Below are 22,413 nucleotides of genomic sequence, written 5' to 3' on the forward strand. Positions count from 1 at the left end.
CTGGGCAACAGAGCAAGACTCTGTCTCAAAAAAAAAAAAATACTTTTTGCTATTTAAAAACAACAAACTTTTATTGATTAAAAATAAATCCCTCACATATCCATCACCCATCAAATCAGGCTGACCTGGTATAATCTATACACGTACCTACATCTGCCTCTCCTGTATTATTTTGAAGTAATCCATTTCATCTATAAAGATTTCAGAATTTAGGCTGGGCGCGGTGGCTCACACCTATAATCCCAGCATGGTGGATTGAGGCCAGGAGTCCGAGACCAGCCTGGCCAACGTGGTGAAACCCCATCTCTACTAAAAATACAAAAATTAGCTGGCCGTCGTGGCACATGCCTATAATCCCAGCTACTCTGGAGGGTGAGGCATGAGAATCACTTGAACCTGGGAGGCGGGGTTTGCAGTGAACCAAGATGGTACCACTGTACTCTAGCCTAGGTGACCGAGTGAAACTCTGTGTCAAAAAAAAAAAAAAAAAAAAAAAGGTTTCGGGATTTAGAGAGAGACTATCTTTGGATAAGAAATTTGCCATTCTGGCCAGGCGTGGTGGCTCACGCCTGTAATCCCAGCACTTTGGGAGGCTGAGGCAGGTGGATCATAAGGTCAGAAGATCGAAACCACCCTGGCCAACATGGTGAAACCCTGTCTCTACTAAAAATACAAAAAAACCTAAAAATAGCCAGGCATGGTGGCACGCCCCTTTATTCCCAGCTAGCTACTTGGGTGGCTGAGGCAGGAGAATTGCTTGAACCTGAGAGGCAGAGGTTGCAGTGAGCTGAGATCGTACCACTGGACTCCAACCTGGGTGACAGAGCAAGACACTGTCTCAAAAAAAAAAAAAGAAAAGAAAAAAGAAATTTGCCACTCCTCCTCCCACCTCTTGCAGATAGTGGCAATGGAAAGTTACCCAATGATGCTTCTTGGGAAGCCTTCCACTGGGAGGATGCTTGGAGAGAAACGTTTAATCCCACTCCACGTATCCCCTCTGGAACTTGACTCTCGTTTTGCAAACAGGAAAAAACCGGTCACCCACTTAGATGACTCAGCCAGCCCCAGGCCTCCTCTGGTCCACTGCAGAGTTCCCGAAGACCCAAATGTTTTGCCTCAGCCACACGTTTTCACTTATTTTTGATTCATTCCAAAGGCAGGCAGGAAATTGCCGCCAGTCATTAATCATGCATGAATCTTTCCTCTGCGCCTCTTCCATGAACAAGACCCATGTTGATGGGCACCTCCCTCTTGTGATCTTACCTTGATGGGCTCTGACAGCAGGTCGTAGGTGTCTCTCTCTATTTCACAGCACAGGTCACCAACACTCAGGCAGGGAAACTGAATTGCTCAAGCCCTGTAAGTGGGAGAACCAAGCCTTGAACCTGGCTCTGTGGGCTCTTAGTGGAAAGCCCACAGGGTGGGTTAAAGGCCTGGTTCCCACATTGCACTAAAAAATGAACACTCTCTGGAGTCCCGCTCTCAGTAGCCATCTGGATGAGAAATGATCTCTTGCCGGGAGCAGTGGCTCACGCCTGTAATTTCAGCGCTTTGGGAGGCTGAGGCGGGCAGATCACCTGAGGTCAGGAGTTTGAGACCAGCCTGACCAACATGGTGAAACCCCATCTCTATTAAAAATACAAAAATTAGCTGGGCGTGGTGGCAGGCACCTGTAGTCCTAGCTACTTAGGAGGCTGAGGCAGGAGAATCGCTTGAACTCAGGAGGTGGAGGTTGCAGTGAGCTGAGATCGCACCACTGCACTCCAGCCTGGGGAACACAGTGAGACTCTGTCTCAAAAGAAAAGAAAAGAAAAGAAATGATCTCCTGCAGAATGCCCAGGAGGAACACTGACTGAGAACCAGATGCTCATGCTGGCATTGGAACCAGGCTTCTTGAGGTCCCCTCCTGAAAACCTCTTTTGCTCTTGGCAGGCTCTCACTCTCCATGCTCAGTTGGCTTCACCCCAGGGGTACCAGGCACTAGGGGGTGGAGGACAGGTACCCTGCTGACCAGGCCCCCAGGAGGGCTCCACAGCTGGCCCTGCCTCCTCATTTAGGCAGCACCAATTGTTGCCAAGATGGCTATTATTTTTATTTTTAATTAATTAATTAATTCTTCTTCTTCTTTTGAGATGGAGTCTCACTCTGTCACCGAGGCTGGAGTGCATTGGTGCGATCTCAGCTTACTGTAGTCTCCACTGCTTGGGGTTCAAGCGATTCTCCTGCCTCAGCCTCCAAGTGGCTGGGATTACAGGTATGTGCCACCACACCTGTCTAACTTTTTCTTTTTTTTTTTTTTTTTGAGATGGAGTCTCACTCTGTCGCCCAGGCTGGAGTGCAGTGGTGTGATCTCGGTTCACTGCAACCTCCGCCTCTTGGGTTCAAGCGATTCTCCTGCCTCAGCCTCCCGAGTAGCTGGGACTACAGGCGTGTGACACCACGCCCGGCTAAGTTTTATACTTTTAGTAGAGACAGGGTTTCACCACGTTAGCCAGGATGGTCTCCATCTCCTGACCTCGTGACCCACCTGCCTCGGCCTCCCAAAGTGCTGGGACCTTGTGAACCACCGTGCCCTACCAACTTTTGTATTTTTTGTACAGACGGGGTTTCACCATGTTGGCCAGGCTGGTCTTGAACTCCTAACCTCAAATGGTCTGCCCGCCTCAGCCTCCCAAAGTGCTGGGATTACAGACCTGAGCCACCGTGCCTGGCCCTTAAATCAGTAGACTTTGAATAAAGGACACTGCCCTTCATAATGTGCGTGGGCTTCATCCAATCAGTTGAAGGCCTAAAAAGCAAAGACCAAGATTTCCTGAAAAAGAAGGAATTCAGCCTCAAGACTGAAACACAGACACCCTCTCTGAGTGTCTGGCCTGCCTGGCTTGCCCTGTGGATTTCAAACTCAGTACTGCAACATCCACTCTTACGTGGATTTTCAGTCTGCTGGCCTGCCCTGCGGAGTTTGGACTTGCCAGCTCCTACAATTGCATGAAGCAATTCCTTAAAGTAAATCTCTGTCTCTAGCTCTGTATCTCCTTTTGGTTCTATTTCTCTGGAGAATTCTACTGATACTTAGATATTCCCCAATTACAGAATCCCCCACACATCCTGCCAACATCAGCTAAGCCGTGTTTTTGCAAACTCTCCCCAAATAACCTGACACAAATCCAAATCCTATGATGAGAACTTTCTAACATTGTCTTTATTGAGTCACTCAGGACTGACTACTTAACTTGTGGGGCCCAGTACACAGTGAAAATGCTGGCTGGGTGCGGTGGCTCACTCCTGTAATTCCAACACTTTGGGAGACTGTGGCGGGCAGATCACCTGAGGTCAGGAGTTCAAGACTAGCCTGGCCAACATAGCAAAACCTCACCTCTACTAAAAATACAAAATTAAGCTGGGCGTGGTGGGTGGGTGCCTGTAATCCCAGCTACTCAGGAAGGCTGAGGCAGGAGACGTGCTTGAACCCAGGAGGCGGAGGTTGCAGTGAGCCCAGATCACGCCACTACAGTCCAGCCTGGATGACAGAGCGAGACTCCGTTAAAAAAAAAAAAAAAAATCCTAGGCCAGGCATGGTGGCTCATGCCTATAATCCTAGCACTTTGGGAGGCCAAGTGGGGTGGATGGCTTGAGTCTAGGAGTTTGAGACCAGCCTGGGCAACACAGCAAGACCCCCATCTTTGCAAAAAATAAAGTTAAATAAAAAACCTAGCCAGGCAAGATGGCATGTGCCTGCAGTCCCGGCTACTCAGGGGACTGAAGTGGGATGATCACTTGGGCCGGGGAGGTTGAGGCTGCAGTGAGCTTTGATCTCACCACTGCACTCCTGCCTGGGTAACAGAGTGAGACCCTGTCTCAAAAACAAAGTAAAATAAGAAAGCCTGTAGGTTGAAAATATTAAGGTTAAAGAGGTGGTAACAATCAGGGTTGGTTTGGGGAGCTGAGCTACCATGGGTGAGTGTTACGGGATAAGGGAAGGAATGAGACTTTGCACAATTATTGCAGGATCTCGGGAGGTGAAGATCTGGGAGTGGGACCAGAGGAGTCACCAACCAGTGGATCTAGAAGTCAGGAATGTCTGTTTGCCAAAGTGGGGCTCTGCAGGGGGAGCTCGTAGAGGGGTTTAGTTTGCCCCTGTATGGCTCTTGCCTCTGTGAATGGGCAGCCAAGCATTTGGTGCTGGGGCTCGGGCCGTGGCAGAAGCAGCTTTAATGGCTTTGGGAGTTTCCAGCACCACTTTGCTTCCTTAGAGCTGTGAGTGACAAGTGAAGCTTGAGGCTGGTGTGAGTACTGGATTCCTCACTGTTCCTTCTATGTCACGCAAGGGCAAACACAGCACTCTTTTGGTGATGTGATTACATCAGCACCTGTCTCATAAAACTTAAAAAAAAATCTTTGTTTCAAAATCATGCTCCTAGCCAGGCACAGTGGCTCACACCTGTAATCCCAGCACTTTGGGAGGCTGAAGTGGGAGAATAGCTTGAGGCCAGGAATTCAAGACTTGTCTGGGCAGCAGAGCAAGACCCTGCCCTTACAAAAAATTAAAAAGGAAAAAAAATTGCTATGCATGGTGGCGTACTATCGTAGTCCTAGCTACCTGAGAGGCTGAGGCGGGAGGATTGTTTGAGCCTAGGAATTCCAGGCTGCAGTGAGCTGTGATCACCCAACTACCTCTAACCGGGTGACAGAGGGAGACCCCGTCTCAAAAAAAAAAATCATATTATTAAAAAAAAATATTCAAACACTGCTAAAGATTTTTCAATGAAAAGTGAGTCTTTTTCTTTCTTTAGATTTTGTCTATTGCCAGAGACAGTCCATCAGTCTTCTTTCTAGCTTTGCAAAAAAAGTCTCCGTTTATGTCTGTCTATTCAGACACTACCTATTTTATTTTTTTAAATTTTATTTTATTTGAGACAGTCTTGCTCTGTTGCCCAGGCTGAAGTGCAGTAGCACACAACCATGGTTCACTGTAGCCTCAACCTCCTAGGTTCAGGTGATCCTCCTGCCTCAGCCTCCTGAGCAGCTGGGACCACAAGCACGCACTACCACACCTGGCTAATTTTTAAATTATTTGTAGAGATAGGGTTTCCCTGTGTTGCCCAGGCTGTCTCGAACTACTGGGCTCAAGTGATCCTTCTACCTCAGCCTACCAAAATGCTGGCATTACAGGTGTGAGCCACCGTGCCCAGTCTGTACTTTGTGTTTTTCACTTAGTGATTTATCTTTCATATGAGACCACATCTGTCTCATTCTTTCTGATGGCCATAGTCTTCCATTGTGAGGCTCCCAGTGACGAACAGTTCTGTTGCTCTAGGCTCTTATGAATAGATGTGATGTCACAGTAAACTACATTGTACCTGAGATTTTAAGTACCTGAGCAAGTATATCTGTCAGACACAATAGTGTTTTCTTTCCAAAGAGTTAGCAAAGCTTTCTTCCCCTGGCTTCTGGCTTCCCAGGTATGGTTCCCTTTTTTTTTTTTTTTTTTTGAGACAGAGTCTCCCTCTGTCGCCCACGCTGGAGTGTGCAGTGGCATGATCTCAGCTCACTGCAACCTCTGCCTCCCAGGTTCAAGCAATTGCCCTGCCTCAGGCTCCCACGTAGCTAGGATTACAGGTGTGCGCCACCATGCCCGGCTAATTTTTTGTATTTTTGGTGGAGACGGGGTTTCACCATGTTGGCCAGGCTGGTCTCAAACTCCTGACCTCAGGTTATCCGCCCTCCTCAGCCTCCCAAAGTGCTGGGATTACAGGCATGAGCCATGGCGCCTGGCCTCAGGCATGGCTCCTATTGGCTGCCTCCTCTTCCTCACCACTCCTTAAATATCTACCATCTGGCTTGCATCAGGGACACACTCAAAGGCCATCAATGACCTGCTTCTTTAGTGCATCGCCCCTGATCTTCCTGTAGAATTTGACTCCACTCCCTAACTCAGGCTAAAATCTCTCCTTGCTTGACTGTTATGGGAGATTTTTTTTTCTTTCTTTTCTTTTTTTTTTTTGAGACACGGTCTCACTCCGTAGCCCAGACTGCAGTGCAGTGGCGCAATCTTGGCTCACTGCAACCTCTGCCTCCCAGGTTCAAACGATCCTCCTGCCTCAGCCTCCCAAGTAGCTGGGATTATGCACGCCACCACGCTTGGCTAATTTTTGTATTTTTAGTAGAGACTGGGTTTCACCATGTTGGCCAGATTGGCCTCAAACTCCTGACTTCAGGTGATCCACCTGCTTCAGCCTCCCAAAGTGCTGGGATTACAGGTGTGAGCCACTGCACCCAGCCTGGGAGATAATTTTTGTTCTCTCCCTATTTCTCTAATCATGTTTGTCCTGTCTCCTTTGCCTGTCTTCCAAAGGTCAGCAATCTGGCAGAGGCTGAGGGAGTGGAGCCTCCTGGGCCAGCTGCTTCAGCTTCTCCCTGTCCTGCCTAGGCAGCCTCTCCCACTTACCTCACCACCTGGACCCCAGAGGAATTTGACGTTTTGATCAATATCTAAGTTCAAAATCTTTCCTAGGCTCAAGTCCTGCATTTAAAAAAAAAAGTATTTTTTTAAATTTCTGCATTTTATTTTCATGATTTTAGCATTTATTATGGACTACTTTAAAAATACAAAAAGAGGCCAGGCGCAGTGGCTCACGCCTATAATCCTAGCACTTTGGGAGGCCGAGGCGGGCGAATCACTTGAGGTCAGGAGTTCGAGACCAGCCTGGCCAACATACTGAAACCCCGTCTCTACTAAAAATACAAAAATTAGCCAGGCCTGGAGGCACGCACCTGTAATCCCAGCTACTAGGGAGGCTGAGGCAAGAGAATGGCTTGAACCTGGGAGACGGAGGTTGCAGTGAGCTGAAATTTTGCCACCACACTCCAGCCTGGGTGACAGAGTGAGACCCTGTTTAAAAAAAAAAAAAAAAAAGGTATGAGCAGTTGTATAATATGCTCTATCTGCCTCCTGGGTGGATACAAATAAAATAGGTAGGGTCTGAATAGACAGACATAAACAGAGGCTCTATTTGGAAAGACAGAAGACTGACAGTGGCTGGGCACTGTGGCTTACACATGTAATCTCAGTACTTTGGGAGGCTGAGGCAGGAAGATCACTTGAGCCCAGGAGTTCAAGACCAGCCTGGGCAACATGATGAAATCTCATCTCTACAAAAAATACAAAAATTAGCTGGGCATGGTGGCATGTGCGTAGTCCTAGCTACTCAGGAGGCTGAGGTGGGAGGATCGCTTAAGCCCAGAAGGTGGAGGCTGCAGTGAGCCCTGATGGTGCCACTGCACTCCAGCCTGGGCAATAGAGCAACACCCTGTCTTAAAAAAAAAAAAAAAAAAAAAGGCTGGGTGCGGTGGCTTGCACCTGTAATCCCAGCACTTTGGGAGGCCGAGGCGGGTCGATCACGAGGTGAGGGGATTGAGACCATTCTGCCCAACATGGTGAAACCCTGTCTCTACTAAAAATACAAATATTAGCTGGGCATGGTGGCGCATGCCTGTAATCCCGGATCATGAGGTCAGGAGATCGAGACCATCCTGGCTAAGATGGTGAAACCCCATCTCTACTAAAAATACAAAAACAAAATTAGCCAGACATGGTGGTGGGTGCCTGTAGTCCCAGCTACTCTGGAGGCTGAGGCAGGAGAATGGCATGAACCTGGGAGTCGGAGCTTGCAGTGAGCTGAGATAGCGCCCCTGCACTCCAGCCTGGGTGACAGAGCAAGATTCTGTCTCAAAAAAAAAAAAAAAAAACCAAAAAAAAAGAGGAAGACTGACAGTAATTACTGCCTCTGGCAAGAGAGAGGAAATCCAGGGTAGGAAAAAGACTTACTTTTCATTGAAAAATCTTTGGCACTGTTTGAATACTTATTTTTTAATAATATGAATTTTAAAAACAAGAATTATCAGTGGCTGGGCGCGGTGGCTCACACCTGTAATCTCAGCACTTTGGGAGGCCAAGGCAGGTGGATCACGAGGTCAGGAGACTGAGACCATTCTGCCCAATATGGTGAAATCCTGTCTGTACTAAAAATACAAATATTTGCTGGGCATGATGGCGCATGCCTGTAATCCCAGCTATTCCGGAAGCTGAGGCAGGAGAATCACTTGAACCCGGGAGGCAGAGGTTGCAGATCGCACTACTGTACCCCAGCCTGGCAACAGAGGGAGACTCCATCTCAAAACAAACAAACAAACAAACAAACAAATAAATAAAAAATCATCCAGGCTAGGTGGCTCATGCCTGTAATCCCAGCAGTTTGAGAGGCCAAGGCCGGTGGGTCACCTGAGGTCAGGAGTTCGAAACCAGCCTGACCAACACGGTGAAACCCCGTCTCTACCAAAAATACAAAAACTAGCCAGGCGTGGTGGCATGCACCTGTCATCCCAGCTACTCAGGAGGCTGAGGCCAGAGAATCGCTTGAACCTGGGAGGTGGAGGTTGCAGTGAGCCGAGATCGCGCCATTGCACTCCAGCCTGGGCAATAACAGTGAAACTCCAGCTCAAAAAAAAAAAAAAAAAGAATAAGTTTTTAAAGGTTGGGGTGCTTGGAGGATGAAATAAAGTAGAAGGGATGGCAGGTTTCCTTGGCACACTCCTTGGGCCTTAAGAAAGTGTAAAGAATAAGAAAAATACAACAAAAGGAAAACAACAAATATCAATGTATCCACCACTCAGCTTAATAAAGAAAATATAATAAACACAGGTGAAGCCTTTTTTGTGCTCCCCTTCTTCCCCACCACTTACCTCAGAGATAATCACTATACTGAATTAGGAGTTTGCCATTTCCTCAAATTTTAATTGAGTCCTGCATTTTTGACAAACATCTGGACGTCTCTATATGGGTATTTCACTCAGTATGGTTAAAAGCAAATTCAAGCTGGGCTTAGTGGCTCACACCTGTAATCCCAGCGCTTTGGGAGGCCGAGGTGGGTGGATCACTTGACCCCAAGTGTTTGAGAGCAACCTGGGCAACACGGCAAAAACCCATCTCTACAAAAAATACAAAACTTACCAGGCGTGCTGGCGCATGTCTGTAGTCCCAGCTACTTGGAAGGCTGAGGTGGGCAGATCACCTGAACCCAGGAGGTGGAGGCTGCAGTGAGCTGTGATTGTGTCACTGCACTCAGCCTGGGAGACAGAGTGAGACTCTGTCAAAAAAAAAAAAAAAGGCAAATTCAAGTGATCCATTTATGTAAACAGAAAAATGCACTATATAAATGTATCTATCTAGAATTCAGGGATCGGTGAAACAAAAGACATCGCATCGGCAGGTCTGTTTGCAACTTCTGGGATACACCAGGTGTTAGCGGTGATGACTTCTGGATGCTTGGACTGTGGATTTTTAAAATGGTTTTATCTGCTCATCTGTATTTCTAAATTTTCAACAATGGAACATAGATTATTGTATTATTATTATAATACCCCAAACCTATCTTCCTCTCAGCCCTCTTTCCACGAGCTCTTACCCTAAATGTCTCTTTTTCTGTCAGTGGCATTGTGCGTCTTCCTTAGTGCATCACCTCTGATCTTCCTGTAGAATTTTTTTTTTTTTTGAGATAGAGTCTTGCTTTGTCACCCAGGCTGGAGCGCAGTGGCCTGATCTTGGCTTACTGCAAACTCCGCCTCCTGGGTTCAAGCACGTCTCCCTGCCTCAGCCTCCTGAGTAGCTGGGATCATAGGTGCCTGCCACCATGCCTGACTAATTTTTGTATTTTTAGTAGAGACGGGGTTTCACCATGTTGGCCAGGCTGTTCTGGAACTCCTGACCTCAAGTGATCCACCTGCCTCGGCCTCCCAAAGTGCTGGGATTACAGGAGAGCGCCACGGCGCCCAGCTTACACCAGACTACTTTTTAAAATGTTTTTGTAAAGTCAGGGTTTCGCCATGTTGCCCAGGCTGATTTTGAACTCCTGGGCTCAAGCAATCCTTTTGCCTTTTGACTCCCAAAGTCCTGGGATTACAGGTGTGAACCCCTGCAGCTGGCCTCAATGTTAAGATCTTAAGGGGCACAGCACAGACCTTGTCTTGTCTATCTCCCTGGCACCTCTCACAGAGTACAGCTTATTAACAGATGTTCCAGAAACTGTTACTGAACATTCGGCTTGATGCTGTGGGCTTGTCTGCATCTTGCAACTGTCACCTGGCTGAGAAATTTCTTCTATAAATAAGCAGTTTCTGTTTCAGATGTGATATGCCCTGATATTTACACCCTGTCTCTTACCCCATCCAAGACTCAAACTTAGAAACTTGAATTAGATGTGGTATTCAAATCCTTAGCTGCCGCGAAGACACAGACAGCCCCCGTAAGAACCCACGAAGCAGGCGAAGTTCATTGTTCTCAACATTCTAGCTGCTCTTGCTGCATTTGCTCTGGAATTCTTGTAGAGATATTACTTGTCCTTCCAGGCTGTTCTTTCTGTAGCTCCCTTGTTTTCTTTTTGTGATCATGTTGCAGATGGCTGGGCAGTGCTCCCAAAATGAATATTTTGACAGTTTGTTGCATGCTTGCATACCTTGTCAACTTCGATGTTCTTCTAATACTCCTCCTCTAACATGTCAGCGTTATTGTAATGCAAGTAAGTAATATTGCTTGAACGATTATTCATTGGTGTGAACTATTCTGTCTATATGGACTGCTTATTCAGAGAATCAACATAATGGGCATGATGGTGAGTTTTCTTGAATCAAAAAGAGAAAGGAAGCAAGGCAGTGATTTTAATGTTTATGGAAACAAAGTAATTATTTGGAACTGAACTTGATATGATTCAGCACTATTAGCAACATAGATTTTTTTTAAAAATCAGCTCTTCTAATTAAGTGATATTTAGAATTTAAAAGTCAATGTTCATTAATTAAGGTGATTGAATGGAAATAATCCATACTTGATTATTTTGCTATCAAAACAATCCATAATTCATTATTTTAGCAAAATAATCAAGTATGACAGCCGGGTGCGGTGGATGGCTCACACCTGTAATCCCAGCACTTTGGGAGGCCGAGGTGGGTGAATCACCTGAGGTCGGCAGTTTGAGGCCAGCCTGGCCAACCTGGTGAAACCCTGTCTCTACTAAAAATACAAAAAATTAGCTGGGCATGGTGGCACAGGTCTGTAATCCCAGCTACTCGGGAGGCTGAGGCAGGAGAATTGTTTGAACTTGGGAGGTGGAGGTTGCAGTGAGCCGAGATCGCGCCACTGCACTCTAGCCTGGGCAACAGAGCAAGACTTTGTCTCAAAATAAATAAATAAATAATAACAATAAAGTATGTGAATATTATGTTATCAGCTCATTATCTGTCTGATGTTCTTTTCATAAAGGTGTGACCAATTCAGTGAAAGGAACGAATGCGATTCTCTGGACCTGTTTGGGACTGAGCTTAATAATTTCTTTGGCAGTTTTCGTGCTAATGTTTTTGCTAAGGAAGATAAACTCTGAACCATTAAAGGACGAGTTTAAAAACACAGGTTGGTTTGATGGTGAATCTTTGAAATCTATTTCCAGGGGATGGCTATTGTGAGTTTCAGTTCCTTTTCTTTTTTTAGCGTTGACTATTTCACTTCGTTACAGCCCTTTCGAATGTGTTAGAACATTGTTACATTAAATGAACTTGGTAGAGGTGAGCCATCTTCATTCTGATTTTGACACCTTGGCAGATTTTCTACAATGTCAGTCTTCTCCAGGATTCTTCCACTGTTAATTACTCTATTGAAAGTACTAAGGCTTTCTTGGGAAACATCAGTCTCTTTGACTAAAGTTAGCACATCGATTAAATGCCACATTATCAGAAACTCCTAGCCAGGTCTGCTACTGTCAGGAAAAGCATATTTGTCAAGATCTATGGTCATGTTTTTATACAAATATAGGTGTTCTTTGCTTGAGTGAACATTTTACTACTGAAAAATGTTAGAAATGAATAACCAGTTGCTCCTGAATTATTTGAGGAATCATCTAAAAAATAATTATTTTTAAGCAATAGAGAACCAGTCCCAGAAAAATGAATGTTCTACTTAAGTGCCTCTTAAGATAAAAATACTTCTGCAGCACCTTTGCTCATGATTGGATTCCCAAGCATGTACAGCCACTGCCCTATTTCTGTATGCATTTATTTATTTATTTATTTATTTATTTATTTATTTATTTAGAGATGGAGTCTCGCTCTGTGGCCCAGGCTGGAGTGCAGTGGCGTGATCTCAACTCACTGCAGCCTCTGCCTCTTGGGTTCAAACAATTCTCCCATCTCAGCCTCCTGAGTAACTGGGACTATAGGTATGTGCCATCACCTCCGACTAATTTTTGTACTTTTTGGTAGAGACAGGGTTTCATCATGTTGGCCAGGATGGTCTCAAGCTCCTGACCACAAGTGATCTGCCCGCCTCAGCTTCCCAAAGTGCTGGGATTACAGGCGTGAGCCACAGGGCCCAGCACATACTCATTCTTTTTTACTGAAAAGATCTGTTTCAAGCTGGGTGTGGTGGCATGGAGCTGTAGTCCCGACTGCTCTGTAGGCTAACGTGGGAGGATTGCTTGAGCCCAGGAGTTTGAATGCAGCCTGGGCAACACAGTAAGACCCCACCTCTAAAAAATGAAAAAATCTCTCTCACATTGCTTTGAGTCCCGATGTGTACTGCTAAGACTCTCATGACCACATTCTCTGTGAAGTTTGGGTTAATGTTTCCGTTTCTACATAATTAGGATCAGGTCTCCTGGGCATGGCTAACATTGACCTGGAAAAGAGCAGGACTGGTGATGAAATTATTCTTCCGAGAGGCCTCGAGTACACGGTGGAAGAATGCACCTGTGAAGACTGCATCAAGAGCAAACCGAAGGTCGACTCTGACCATTGCTTTCCACTCCCAGCTATGGAGGAAGGCGCAACCATTCTTGTCACCACGAAAACGAATGACTATTGCAAGAGCCTGCCAGCTGCTTTGAGTGCTACGGAGATAGAGAAATCAATTTCTGCTAGGTAATTAACCATTTCGACTCGAGCAGTGCCACTTTAAAAATCTTTTGTCAGAATAGATGATGTGTCAGATCTCTTTAGGATGACTGTATTTTTCAGTTGCCGATACAGCTTTTTGTCCTCTAACTGTGGAAACTCTTTATGTTAGATATATTTCTCTAGGTTACTGTTGGGAGCTTAATGGTAGAAACTTCCTTGGTTTCATGATTAAACTCTTTTTTTTCCTGACATCTAAGTTTTTATTAACGTGAGTTTTTAAAAACAAGCATGTATACCAGTGTGGGGGGTGAGGGTGGGAGAGAAAGGTGGGAGGGGGAAAGAATTCTAACCTATTGATAATAAAGCTCCAGTTTTGGCCAGGCGCGGTGGCTCATGCCTGTAATCCCAGCACTTTGAAAGGCCGAGGCGGGCAGATTACCTGAGGTCAGGAATTTGAGACCAGCCTGGCCAACATGGTGAAACCCTGTCTTTACTAAAAATACAAAAATTAGCTGGGCATGGTGGTAGGCACCTGTAATCCCAGCTACTCAGGAGGCTGAGGCAGGAGAATCGCTTGAACCTGGGAGGTGGAGGTTGCAATGAGCTGAGATAGCATCCCTGCACTCCAGCCTGGGCAAGAGGGTGAGACTCCGTCTCAAAACAAAACAACACAAACAAACAAAAAGACCTCCAGCTTCATCTTCTGCTGGATTTTATAGTGCCCCAAAGATATGTGGTCCTTAAAAATTGTATACCACTTATTCAGGAGTCTTGTTCCTGAAAGGGTTGTTCTTGTTACAGCCCTAGTCTGGGCTGTAATCAGCTTCTTAAGGTCCACAATGGTGTTATCTGTGTAGCATTTAACACAGACCTTCTCCACACTATCCACTCTCCACTGAGGTTGTTGCAAACAACCTCAATCATCCTAGCTGATGCTCATCACCTTGAACATGCTGACATGACAATCTTCTCACTAGAGACCTCTAAACGCTTGACTTACTGAAAAAAACAGCATTCTGTAGATCTCAGTAACCAATTTCTTTTTCTTTTCTTTTTTTTTTTTTTGAAACGGAGTCCTGCTCTGTTGCCCAGGCTGGAGTGCAGTGGCATGATCACAGCTCACTACAACCTCCACCTCTCAGGTTCAAGCGATTCTCTTGCCTCAGCCTCCCGAGTAGCTGGGATTACAGGCACGTGGCACCATGCCCTGCTGATTTTTGTATTTTTAGTAGAGATGGGGTTTCACTGTGTTGGTCAGGCTGGTCTTGAACTCCTGACCTCAGGTGATTCACCTGCCTTGGCCTCCCAAAGTGTTGGGATTACCGGTGTGAGCTATCGCGCCCGGCCCCAGTCATACGCTTCTATGGTTAGGGCGCTTCTCTCCGATATACATACATACAGATTTCAGGAAGGATCGGATGTTTCTCTTGATTTTTGAATTTTATTTATTTATTTTTTGAGACAGTCTCGCTCTGTCGTTGACACGGGAGTGCAGTGGTGCGATCTCAGCTCACTGCAACCTCTGCCTCCCGGGTTCAAGCAATTCTCTGCCTCAGCCACCCGAGTAGCTGGGATTACAGGTGCCCGCCACTGCGCCTGGCTAATTTTTGTATTTTTAGTAGAGACAGGGTTTCACCATCTTCGCCAGACTGGTCTTGAACTCCTGACCTCGTGATCCACCTGTCTTGGCCTCCCAATGTGCTGGGATTACAGGCGTGAGCCACTGTGCCTGGCCTTTTCTCTTTATTGTTAAAGGAAAGCTAACTTATGTACTTCTGCAAACAGGAGAAGCCTAGAATCAACCAGACGAATTCAGTGTGCAGTGCACAGGTGGTTCTTGGCCTTGTGAGCTTCCAGCTTAATGAAAGCATCAGGCATTACTATAATTACACAAGTAAATGTGTAATCGCAAACTGTGATAACGGTGCACGACATACTGTTTTCAGCCCAAAATGTGAGTGGTGCTATAATAATCATATCTAACCCTTATATAGTCTTACTAACGTGCCAGGGACTGTTCTAAGTGCTTCACCTGTACTAGCTCATTTTATTTTTTTGAGACGGGGTCTTGCTCTGTTGCCCAGGCTGGACTGCACTGGCATCATCTTGGCTCACTGCAACCTCTACCTCAAGAGGTAGGTTCAAGAGTCTCCTACCTCAGCCTCCCAAGTAGCTGGGATTACAGGTGCCCGCCACCACACCCGGCCTATACTAACTCATTTTAAGCACACAAAAACTCCTGGGTATGGCCGGGTGTGGTGGCTCATGCCTGTAATCCCAGCACTTTGGGAGGCCGAGACAGGCAGATCACCTGAGGTCAGGAGTTAGAGACCAGCCTGACCAACATGGTGAAAACCTGTCTTGTCCCACATTTCCAGTCTTTATTTTTATTCATTTATTTATTTATTTTTGAGATGAAGTCTCACTCTGTCGCCCAGGCTGGAATGCAGTTGTGCTATCTGAGCTCACTACAACCTCTGCTTCCTGGGTTCAAACAATTCCCCTGTCTCAGCCTCCTGAGTAGCTGGGACTACAGTCGCATGCCACCATGCTCAGCTAGTTTTGGTATTTTTACTACAGATGGGGTTTCACCATATTGGTCAGGCTGGTCTCGGACTCCTGACCTCAGGTGATCCACCCACTTTGGCCTGCCAAAGTGCTAGAATTATAGGTGTGGGCCACTGCACCTGGCCTTCCAGTGTTTAAAATCAGCATTTTTTTTTTCTTTCTTTTGAGACACAGTTTCACTCTTGTTGCCCAGGTTAGAGTGCAGTGGTACGATCTTGGCTCACTGCAACCTCCAACTTCTGGTTTCAAGCGATTCTCCTGCCTCAGCCTCCCGTGTAACTGGGATTACAGGCACCTGCCACCACGCCTGGCTAATTTTTGTATTTTTAATATAGACGGGGTTTCACCTTGTTGGACACGGTGGTCTTGAACTCCTGACCTCGTGATCTACCTGCCTTGGCCTCCCAAAGTGCTGGCATTACAGGCATGAGCCACCGCGCCTGGCCTAAAATCAGCATTTTCTTACTCGTTTCTTTTTTTTTTTTGAGATAGGGTCTTACTCCAATGCCCAGGCTGAGTGCAGTGGCATAATCTTGGCTCACTGCAGCCTCGACCTCTGGGGCTCAGGTGACCCTCCCACCTCAGGCTCCTGTGTAGCTGGGACTACAGGCATGTACCACCATTCTCGGCTAATTTTTTTTATTCTTTTAGTAGAGATGGAGTTTCGCCATGTTGCCAAGGCTGGTCTTGAACTCCTGGGCTCAAGCGATCCTCCGACCTTGGCCTCCCAAAGTGCTGGGATTACAGGCATAAGCCACCACGCCTGGCCTAAAATCAGCATTTTCATCTGCTACATTGTTGTGTGCTAGGTCAGTCATGTTAAAGAAAAGGGTCAAACTCTAAAACATGTGAAGAGATTTATTCTGAACCAAATATGAGTGACCAATGGCCATGACACAGCCCTCAGGAGATTCTGAGAACACATACCCTAGGTGGTTGGGCTACAACTTTGTTTTATACATTTTAGGGAGACAAAAAGCATCAGTCAATACATATAAAATGTACACTGGTTCGGTCCAGAAAGGCAGGCCAACTAGAAGCAGGTATGGGGGAGTGGGGTGGTGGGGGGGTGGGTGGTTCCAAGTCATAGGTAGATTCAGAGATTTTCTTTCTTTTTTATTTTTTTAGACAGAGTCTTGCTCTGTTACCCAGGCTGGAGTGCAGTGGCGCAACCTTGGCTCACTGCAACCTCTGCTTCCCAGGTTCAAGCAATCCTCCAGCCTCAGCCTCTCAAGTAGCTGGGATTACAACTGTGCGGCACCAAGCTCAGCTAATTTTTGTATTTTTAGTAGAGATGGGGTTTTGCCATGTTGGCCAGGCTGGTCTTGAACTCCTCACCTCAAGTGATCTGCTCTCCTCAGCCTCGCAAAGTGCTGGGATTACAGGTGCGAGCTACCGTGCTCCTGGCCTAGATTCAAAGATTTTCTGATTGGCAATTGGTTGAAAGAGTTAAGTTATGGTCTAAAGATTTAGAATCAGCCAGGCGTAGTGGCTCTTGCCTGTAATCCCAGCACTTTGGGAGGCTGAGGTGGGTGGATCACGAGGTCAGGAGTTTGAGACCAGCATCGCCAACATAGTGAAACCCCATCTCTACCAAAAATACAAAAAATTAGCCGGGTGTGGTGGCAGGCACCTGTAATCCCAGCTACTCGGGAGGCTGAGGCAGGAGGATCACTTGAACCTGGGAGACAGAGGTTGCAGTGAGCTGAGATCACGCTATTGCACTCCACAGCCCAGGCGACAATGCGAGACTCTGTCTCAAAAAAACAAAAACAAACCAACAAAAAAATTTCTGTGTTAAGATAAGGGATTGTGGAGACCGTAGTTCTGTCATGCCAATGAAGCCTCCAGGTGGCAGGCTTCAGAAAATAGATTGTAAATGTTTCCTACTAAGGAGTCTGTTCTGGGCTGGATGCCGCGGCTCACGCCCGTAATTCCAGCACTATGGGAGGCCGAGGTGGGCAGATCGTAAGGTCAGGAGTTTGAAACCAGCCTGAACAACATGGGGAAACCCCGTCTCTACAGAAAATACAATAATTAGCCGGGGCTTGGTAGCATGTGCCTGTAATCCCAGCTACTTTGGAGTGTGAGGCACAAGAATCACCTGAACCTGGGAGGCGGAGGTTGCAGTGAGCTGAGATCACACCACTGCACTCCAGCATGAGTAACACAGTGAGACCGCATCTTCAAAAAAAAAGAAAAAAAAGCTAGGTGTGGTGGCTCACGCCTGTAATCCCAGCACTTTGGGAGGCTGAGGCAGGCAGATCATGAAGTCAAGAGATTGAGTCCATCCTGGCCAACATGGTGAAACCCCGTCTCTACTAGAATTAGCTGGACGTGGTGGTGGGCGCCTGTAATCCCAGCTACTTGGGAGGCTGAGGCAGGAGAATTGCTTGAACTCAGGAGATGGAGGTTGCAGTGAGCCGAGATCACGCCAGTGCATTCCAGGCTGGCAACAGAGCGAGATTCGGACTCAAAAAAAAAAAAAAATAGCTGGGCGTGGAGGCTGATGCCTGTAATCCCAGCACTTTGGGAGGCCGAGGCGGGCGGATCACCTGAGGTCAGGAGTTTGAGATCAGCCTGGTCAACACGGAGAAATCCTAACTCTACTAAAAGTATAAAATTAGCCGGGCGCGGTGGCACATGCCTGTAATCCCAGCTACTCAGGAGGCTGAGGCAGGAGACTCGCTTGAACCTGAGAGGCAGAGGCAGAAGTTGCGGTGAGCCGAGATTGTGCCATTGCACTCCAGCCTGGGCAACAAGAGTGAAACTGTCAAAAAAAAAAAAAAAAAAAAAAGACTCTATTCTATCAGTAATTCTAAAAGGGAGGAGTCTATCGTGAGGCATGTCTGGCTCCCATTTCCCATCATGGCCTGAACTAGTTTTTCAGGTTGCCTTTGGAGTGCCCTTGGCCAAGAGGCGGGCTTCATTCAGATGACTGGGGGACTGAGAATTTTATTTTTGGTTTATAGCCATGATTTCCATAGCTGGGATTTGGTTCTTTCCACTGTGGGGGCCAAGGGGAAAACTTCCTCTTAGTCCTTTGAAAGTTGCTGAAAAATCAGCTCAGAAAAGGCAGATAAACTGGAGAAAAGGTAGACAAGTTTTACTGACTTGTACCCTGGGGGAGAACCACAGAGTGAATACCTATCCCTCAACAGAGTTCAGCAGCTTATAAATTATTTATTTTATTTTTTGAGACAGAGTTTTGTTCTTGTTGCCCAGGTTGGAGTGCAGTGGTGCCATCTCGGCTCACTGCAACTTCTACCTCCCGGGTTCAAGCGATTCTCCTGCCTCAGCCTCCCAAGTTAGCTAGGAGTTCCTAGCTGGTCTGGAACTCCTGACCTCAGGTGATCTGCTTGCCTCCCAAAGTGCTGGGATTACAGGTGTGAGCCACCGCACCCAGCCAAATTATCACAAGGCTACAAAAAGAATGAGGGCTTGGAACCCCAGCAAAACAGGTTATGGGACTGGGGAGAAGAGGAATTCTGTTGAGGAGCAATAAAGGATCACTGGAGATGGAATGGATCCTGGAATGGAGATTATGCTGTAAACAGTTCTCTTTGGAATTTGAATGATTCTGAGAGGGTCTTTATCTTGTGAAAGCATTTGTTCAGGTGTGGTTACCTTCTCAGTTTTACAGGGAGGGGAAAAATTGTTATTTTTGGTGGGTCCCAAGTTTAGGCAGATGAAGGAACTTCATCCTGGCTTTGAGAGATTTGCTGTGTTATGGGCGAGGCCAGAGAGACTATGATGCTTCTTCAGTCCAGCAGGTCAAAATGCCATATTTTCGGGTACTGGTTTCTAAGCCCCAACGCCACTTTTTCATTATTACAGAGAATGCTGCAGACTGGGGTTGGTGGCTCATGCCTGTAATCCCAGCACTTTGGGAGGCCGAGGAGGGTGGATCACCTGAGGTCAGGAGTTCAAGGCTGACCAACATGGTGAAAGCCGATCTCTACTAAACACACAAAATACAAAAGTTAGCAGGCATGGTGGCACACCTGTAATCCTACCTACTCGGGAGGCTGAGGCAGGAGAATCACTAGAACCCGGGAAGCGGAGGTTGTAGTGAGCCGAGATCGCGCCATTGCACTCCTGCCTGGGCGACAGAGTGAGACTCCATCTCAAAATAAAAAAAACAAAAATAACAAAGACGTATTATGGATCAATTGAGTAAGTCTCCTTCAGCATTAGAGGAAAAAAAGAAAGTAGAGGAGAATGTACTACCTACAGAATTGTTTTTTAAAACATCTCCTTAAGTGTATGCTTATGTGTACAAGGTTATGATATAAAATACATTTCTTCACTCGGGGTGTGGGCAAAACAAGTTGGGAAAATACTCCTTCAGTCCCTTTTCCCCGATGTGTAAAATGGGACGAAACCCTGGACTTCATAACAATGTGCAGGGCGCGGTGGCTCACGCCTGTAATCCCAGCATTTTGGGAGGCCGAGGTGGGTGAATCACGAGGTCAGGAGATGGAGACCATCCTGGCTAACACGTTGAAACCCCGTCTCTACTAAAAAAATACAAAAAATTAGCCGGGTATGGTGGCAGGAGCCTGTAGTCCCAGCTACTTGGCAGGCTGAGGCAGGAGAATCACTTGAACCCGGGAGGTGGAGGTTGCAGTGAGCCAAGATCGCGCCACTGCACTCCAGCCTGGGCGACAGAGCGAGATGCCGTCTCAAAAACAAAACAAAACAAAAGAACGTTGTGAATGTGTCACACTTGTGTTCACACTCAATCCATCACCTTTTTTTTTTTTTTTTTTTTTTTTGAGACGGAGTCTCGCTCTGTCGCCCAGGCTGGAGTGCAGTGGCGGGATCTCGGCTCACTGCAAGCTCCGCCTCCCGGGTTCACGCCATTCTCCTGCCTCAGCCTCCCAAGTAGCTGGGACTACAGGCGCCCGCCACTACGCCCGGCTAATTTTTTGTATTTTTAGTAGAGACGGGGTTTCACCGTTTTAGCCGGGATGGTCTCGATCTCCTGACCTCGTGATCCGCCCGCCTCGGCCTCCCAAAGTGCTGGGATTACAGGCGTGAGCCACCGCGCCCGGCCAATCCATCACCTTTTCTATCTCCACTGCCACCACTGTAGACAGGCACCATGTCTTGCCTGGACAACTGCAATAACTCCTTAACCACCTGCTCTTTCTCCACCCTGCCCCCATTATAATTCATTCTCATCCCAGGAAGAGCCATTTTTGTTGTTGTTGTTGTTGAGAGGGAGTCTCACTCTGTCACCCAGGCTGGAGTGCAGTGGTGGGATCTCGGCTCACTGAAACCTCTGCCTCCCGGGTTCAAGCAATTCTCCTGTTTCAGCCTCCCCAGTAGCTGGGACTACAGGCGCACGCCACCATGCCTGGCTAATTTTTGTATTTTTAGTAGAGATGGGGTTTCACTATGTTGGCCAGGCTGGAATCGAACTTCTGACCTCAGGTGATTCACCCACCTTGGCCTCCCAATCATGCCTTGGGATTACAGGCATGAGTCACCGCGTCCGGCCTAGGAGCCATATCTTAAAACCTAATTCAGATCGTATCACTCCTCTGCTTGAGTCCTTTTTTTCTTTGGTAGAGAACGGCGTCTCGCTACGTTGCCCAGGCTGCTCTTGAACTGCTGGCCTCAAGCGATCCGCCTGCCTCCGCCCTCCCAAGTGCTGGGACCTTCCTAGAATTAGGCAGAAAAGCCCAAACTCCTTCCTCTGGCCTGCAAGGCCCTCCCTCCACCTCCTCAATCTCCTTTTCTCACTCACCCTCTCGAACTCCTGACCTCAGGTGATCCGCTCGCCTCGGCCTCCCAAAGTGTTGGGATTACAGGCGTGAGCCACCGCACCAGGCCTATTTTCTCACTCATCCCCTCGCTCCTGTCAACCCCTCCAGGCAGGGGCCTTGCAATTGCCCCTCCTTATGGAACACTTTCCCTGGGGATCTTCCCGGACTGGGTTCCTCTCATCATCCAGGTCTGGGCTCAGAAGTCGCCTCCTTAGAGAGGCCCTCCGGGATTGCCCATCCGCCTGTGCCCACGCTTTGTCCCGTTCCTCTATTTTTATTTCCTTTCCCGCTCGCATCCCTCTCTGGGACGAAGTCGCCCCATCACTCGTGGGAACCTCAGGAAGGCAGGGGAGGCGTCTTGGGCACTTGGGGACAGCGACGCCTCCTCGCGGGGTCTCGGGTTTACCCTGAGTCTCCAGCCCGCGTAGCCTCAGCACCGCTCTCCACACCGGGTCCGGCGACTTGGATCTGCGCCGCGGTTTACGTTCCGGGTCGGCGGGCGGGGCCTCGTCGGCGGCCAGGCTCTACTTCCGGGGCGGGGCGGCCGGGGCGGGGCTCCTGTCTCCCGGCCTGTCTGGAGCTCGGCAGCCGCAGAAGCGGCAGCGGCGGCGGCGCGGCGCAGGCACCGGCCCGGGGAGAGGCACCATGAGCGGTGAGTGGCGGCCCCGCCGCTGTCACCTGCCCCGGCCGCCCCGGCTCCCGCCGCTCCAGCTGCACACTCCGGCCCCTGCGTCCTCGCGCCCCGCTCCCTCGCAGACCCCCTCCCAGTCGCTCCCTTTTCCAGACCCCTGGCCCCCAGGACTCCCGGCTCGTGGCCCCTGCTCACCTGCGGGTCTCTGATCTCCCGTGGCGGGGCACTCCTGGTCTCCTGACTCCTGTCCATCCATAAAAACCAGCTCCTAAACCCCTGTCCCCAGTTGTTCCAGTCCTGCGATCCCCTTGCCTAGTGTCCAGACCCCCAGTTCTGAGACCTCCCAGGTCTCAGTCTCTCCTAACTCCTAGACCCGCTGCGTCCCAGCTCCAGTTCCAGGTCCCCCATCCCCAGTCATCCCCGCTACCCAGGCCCCTGGTCTCCAGTCCCTGCAGTTTCCACACAGGCATAGTCTTTCTGGACAGTTAGTTTGCTGACCCC

At 48.0% G+C, this 22,413-nt stretch overlaps 3 protein-coding genes and 1 pseudogene across 16 annotated transcripts in view, besides 6 other annotated features; 2 read left to right on the forward strand and 2 right to left on the reverse strand.

Moving 5' to 3' along the window:
- Nucleotides 1-21,763, reverse strand: part of NPIPB2 (nuclear pore complex interacting protein family member B2) — a 49,381-nt gene extending 27,618 nt beyond the window's left edge. For 5 of the 8 annotated variants that reach the window (XM_047434580.1, XM_047434579.1, XM_047434581.1 and 2 more), the window contains exons 1-2: nt 21,688-21,763; nt 1,264-1,357 (exon numbers count right to left, since the gene is read on the reverse strand). The gene's annotated coding sequence lies outside the window, so the exon portion shown is untranslated. Of the gene's footprint in view, nt 1-1,263; nt 1,358-9,010; nt 9,147-9,464; nt 9,559-21,687 lie in introns of those variants that run through there. The other 3 variants (NM_001395852.1, NM_001395854.1, NM_001355514.1) reach the window with 2 other exon arrangements.
- Nucleotides 8,197-8,366: a silencer, noted in NCBI's record as "silent region_7215". NCBI's record gives its function as "represses an Ori minimal core promoter by ATAC-STARR-seq in GM12878 lymphoblastoid cells {active_cell/tissue: GM12878}" and the evidence as "EXISTENCE:reporter gene assay evidence [ECO:0000049][PMID:35858748]".
- Nucleotides 9,878-9,997: an enhancer, noted in NCBI's record as "active region_10461". NCBI's record gives its function as "activates an Ori minimal core promoter by ATAC-STARR-seq in GM12878 lymphoblastoid cells {active_cell/tissue: GM12878}" and the evidence as "EXISTENCE:reporter gene assay evidence [ECO:0000049][PMID:35858748]".
- Nucleotides 10,118-10,557: an enhancer, noted in NCBI's record as "active region_10462". NCBI's record gives its function as "activates an Ori minimal core promoter by ATAC-STARR-seq in GM12878 lymphoblastoid cells {active_cell/tissue: GM12878}" and the evidence as "EXISTENCE:reporter gene assay evidence [ECO:0000049][PMID:35858748]".
- On the forward strand, nt 10,330-13,188 carry TNFRSF17 (TNF receptor superfamily member 17). Its single transcript, NM_001192.3, has 3 exons — nt 10,330-10,574; nt 11,315-11,461; nt 12,690-13,188. Exons 1-3 carry the CDS (start codon nt 10,445-10,447, stop codon nt 12,965-12,967), a joined length of 555 nt encoding a protein of 184 aa, NP_001183.2. The 5' UTR covers nt 10,330-10,444; the 3' UTR covers nt 12,968-13,188.
- UBL5P4 (ubiquitin like 5 pseudogene 4) lies at nt 13,628-13,863 on the reverse strand (annotated as a pseudogene).
- Nucleotides 17,876-18,376: an enhancer, noted in NCBI's record as "H3K4me1 hESC enhancer chr16:12066613-12067113 (GRCh37/hg19 assembly coordinates)". NCBI's record gives its function as "activates a minimal SCP1, AML or CMV promoter by ChIP-STARR-seq in naive H9 embryonic stem cells {active_cell/tissue: H9 hESC(naive)}" and the evidence as "EXISTENCE:reporter gene assay evidence [ECO:0000049][PMID:30033119]".
- Nucleotides 20,518-21,169: an enhancer, noted in NCBI's record as "H3K27ac-H3K4me1 hESC enhancer chr16:12069255-12069906 (GRCh37/hg19 assembly coordinates)". NCBI's record gives its function as "activates a minimal SCP1, AML or CMV promoter by ChIP-STARR-seq in naive H9 embryonic stem cells {active_cell/tissue: H9 hESC(naive)}" and the evidence as "EXISTENCE:reporter gene assay evidence [ECO:0000049][PMID:30033119]".
- Nucleotides 21,664-22,123: a silencer, noted in NCBI's record as "silent region_7216". NCBI's record gives its function as "represses an Ori minimal core promoter by ATAC-STARR-seq in GM12878 lymphoblastoid cells {active_cell/tissue: GM12878}" and the evidence as "EXISTENCE:reporter gene assay evidence [ECO:0000049][PMID:35858748]".
- SNX29 (sorting nexin 29) overlaps nt 21,854-22,413 on the forward strand; it is a 597,554-nt gene continuing 596,994 nt past the window's right edge. For all 7 annotated transcript variants that reach the window (NM_032167.5, XM_017023874.2, XM_047434881.1 and 4 more), the window contains exon 1: nt 21,854-21,933. In NM_032167.5, the coding sequence (NP_115543.3) occupies nt 21,927-21,933 (7 nt within the window). In that variant the 5' untranslated portion in view covers nt 21,854-21,926. The remainder of the gene's footprint in view (nt 21,934-22,413) is intronic.

Source organism: Homo sapiens, chromosome 16 (genome assembly GCF_000001405.40).
Source record: "Homo sapiens chromosome 16, GRCh38.p14 Primary Assembly".
In the NCBI taxonomy this organism is placed as follows: Eukaryota; Metazoa; Chordata; class Mammalia; order Primates; family Hominidae; genus Homo; species Homo sapiens.